The following is a 1,475-nucleotide window of genomic DNA, read 5'->3' as shown; positions in this document are numbered from 1 at the left end:
CCCCACATACTGACCTACCTGACTTTTCCATGGAGACAGCAGAGCAAAATCCTAAGCAGACAGGCTGTCAATGTTAATTAAAGGTCCAAACACCTCTTTAGAAACTATCTCCAGCTCAATATTTATACAGAACATAAGACTCCTAACAGGCAGGGTTGGGGAGAAGAGGAGGAGGTTAAGGGCGGAAATAGGTTTGAATGGCATTTGGAATCCATTAATTTTTAAAAGACAGGCTGCCACCTTATATAGACCCAGAGAGGTTCAAAATGTAACAAAACCAGGAAGATGAATGAGCTGAAGATTGTTTAGAAAGCCTGGCAAGAGTGCTCCGCTTTTGAAAAGAATAATATCTGGGCAATAATGAGAGCTGACATTTTTTATTGGTGAATGCAGTTTTTGGCACATTTTAACAATACAGGTTGACAATTTTTTGTATTTAACAAAAGGAAAAGCAATCTTCTAAATGATCTGGGAACAGAGGGCTCCCTGACTGCAATTTCTTAATAACATGTAAGAATTCTCTTCAAAGGCCCTTGATAATTTACAGAGAAGAAGGAAAAATGAAGAAAAATTTTAAAAGAAGGTATATTTTTTCGAAAAAGAAACAAAATAGAAGTAGTAAAGGAGAAAAAGGAGGAAAGGAAAGGGTACAGCATTTTAACATTAAATCATAGCCCAAAGGGTTGGATTCTAAGGTTTGACTTTAGCAATCTCCTTTCAAAGGAATGAGTTTTAAAGGAGAATCCAAAAGGAGATGCTGGTCAACCCCACTACATCTTACAGACTCAGAACTTTGGGCCTGGGAAGTACTAAATAAATCACCCACTCCAAGCAGCACATTTTGCAGATGAGAAAAGTCTGATATGGGTGCCAGGGGCCCCAAGTTACCTGGTTGGACCAGACACGAGTCTTACGAGCTCCAAGCCACACCACTTCTGTATCTTGTGATGTAGGTCCTGAAAACCGCCAAGCCTTAAGAGCTCTAGTGCCACTTGATTCCAAGACTGAATACTGATACCTTTAACCAGATTGACTGATTTGAACCTCTACCAAGGTTCTTGAGACTACCAAGAATCACATAAGTATAACATATTCCGAAAGTATGAAGTTCACAAAATAGTCCACTGACAGAGTTAGCCACCCTGGGTAAGAAATGAATTTAAGAGTTCACAAAGACTGAGATGCCCACTGTATCCTGAGGGAGGCCTTCTTGGGTCAGGAAAAAGACTCCTGAACAAGGCATGATCCAGGAATGTACCCCTTAAAATTTAACTCTTATTCCACACACTGGCTTCACCCTCAGAATGAAACCCTTCTGAGTTTCAGTTCTGTTCCCTGAAACACGAGATCTAACTCTCTAGCATCTTCACAGTTCCAAAACATTTTCAACAGAGAATATAGTATCATATCTATTTGTAAGTGAGGAATCAAATTCAGAGAGAGTTCTACTTTATCATATTGAAAAAGCAAATGAA

The 1,475-nt window shown here is 39.3% G+C and overlaps 1 protein-coding gene across 55 annotated transcripts in view; it reads right to left on the bottom strand.

Annotated features, from left to right (window-relative positions):
• FGGY (FGGY carbohydrate kinase domain containing) overlaps window positions 1–1,475 on the bottom strand; it is a 466,353-nt gene that overhangs the window by 369,418 nt on the left and 95,460 nt on the right. For 2 of the 55 annotated variants that reach the window (XM_017001678.2, XM_024448229.2), the window contains exon 1: window positions 19–949. The exons of the other annotated variants lie outside the window; for them this stretch is intronic. The gene's annotated coding sequence lies outside the window, so the exon portion shown is untranslated. Of the gene's footprint in view, window positions 1–18; window positions 950–1,475 lie in introns of those variants that run through there. 55 annotated transcript variants of the gene reach the window in all.

The sequence above is a fragment of the Homo sapiens genome, chromosome 1 (assembly GCF_000001405.40).
Source record: "Homo sapiens chromosome 1, GRCh38.p14 Primary Assembly".
Taxonomy (NCBI): Eukaryota; Metazoa; Chordata; class Mammalia; order Primates; family Hominidae; genus Homo; species Homo sapiens.
The sequence above is the reverse complement of the archived record's forward strand: the minus strand, read 5'-3'. Positions and strand labels throughout refer to the sequence as shown.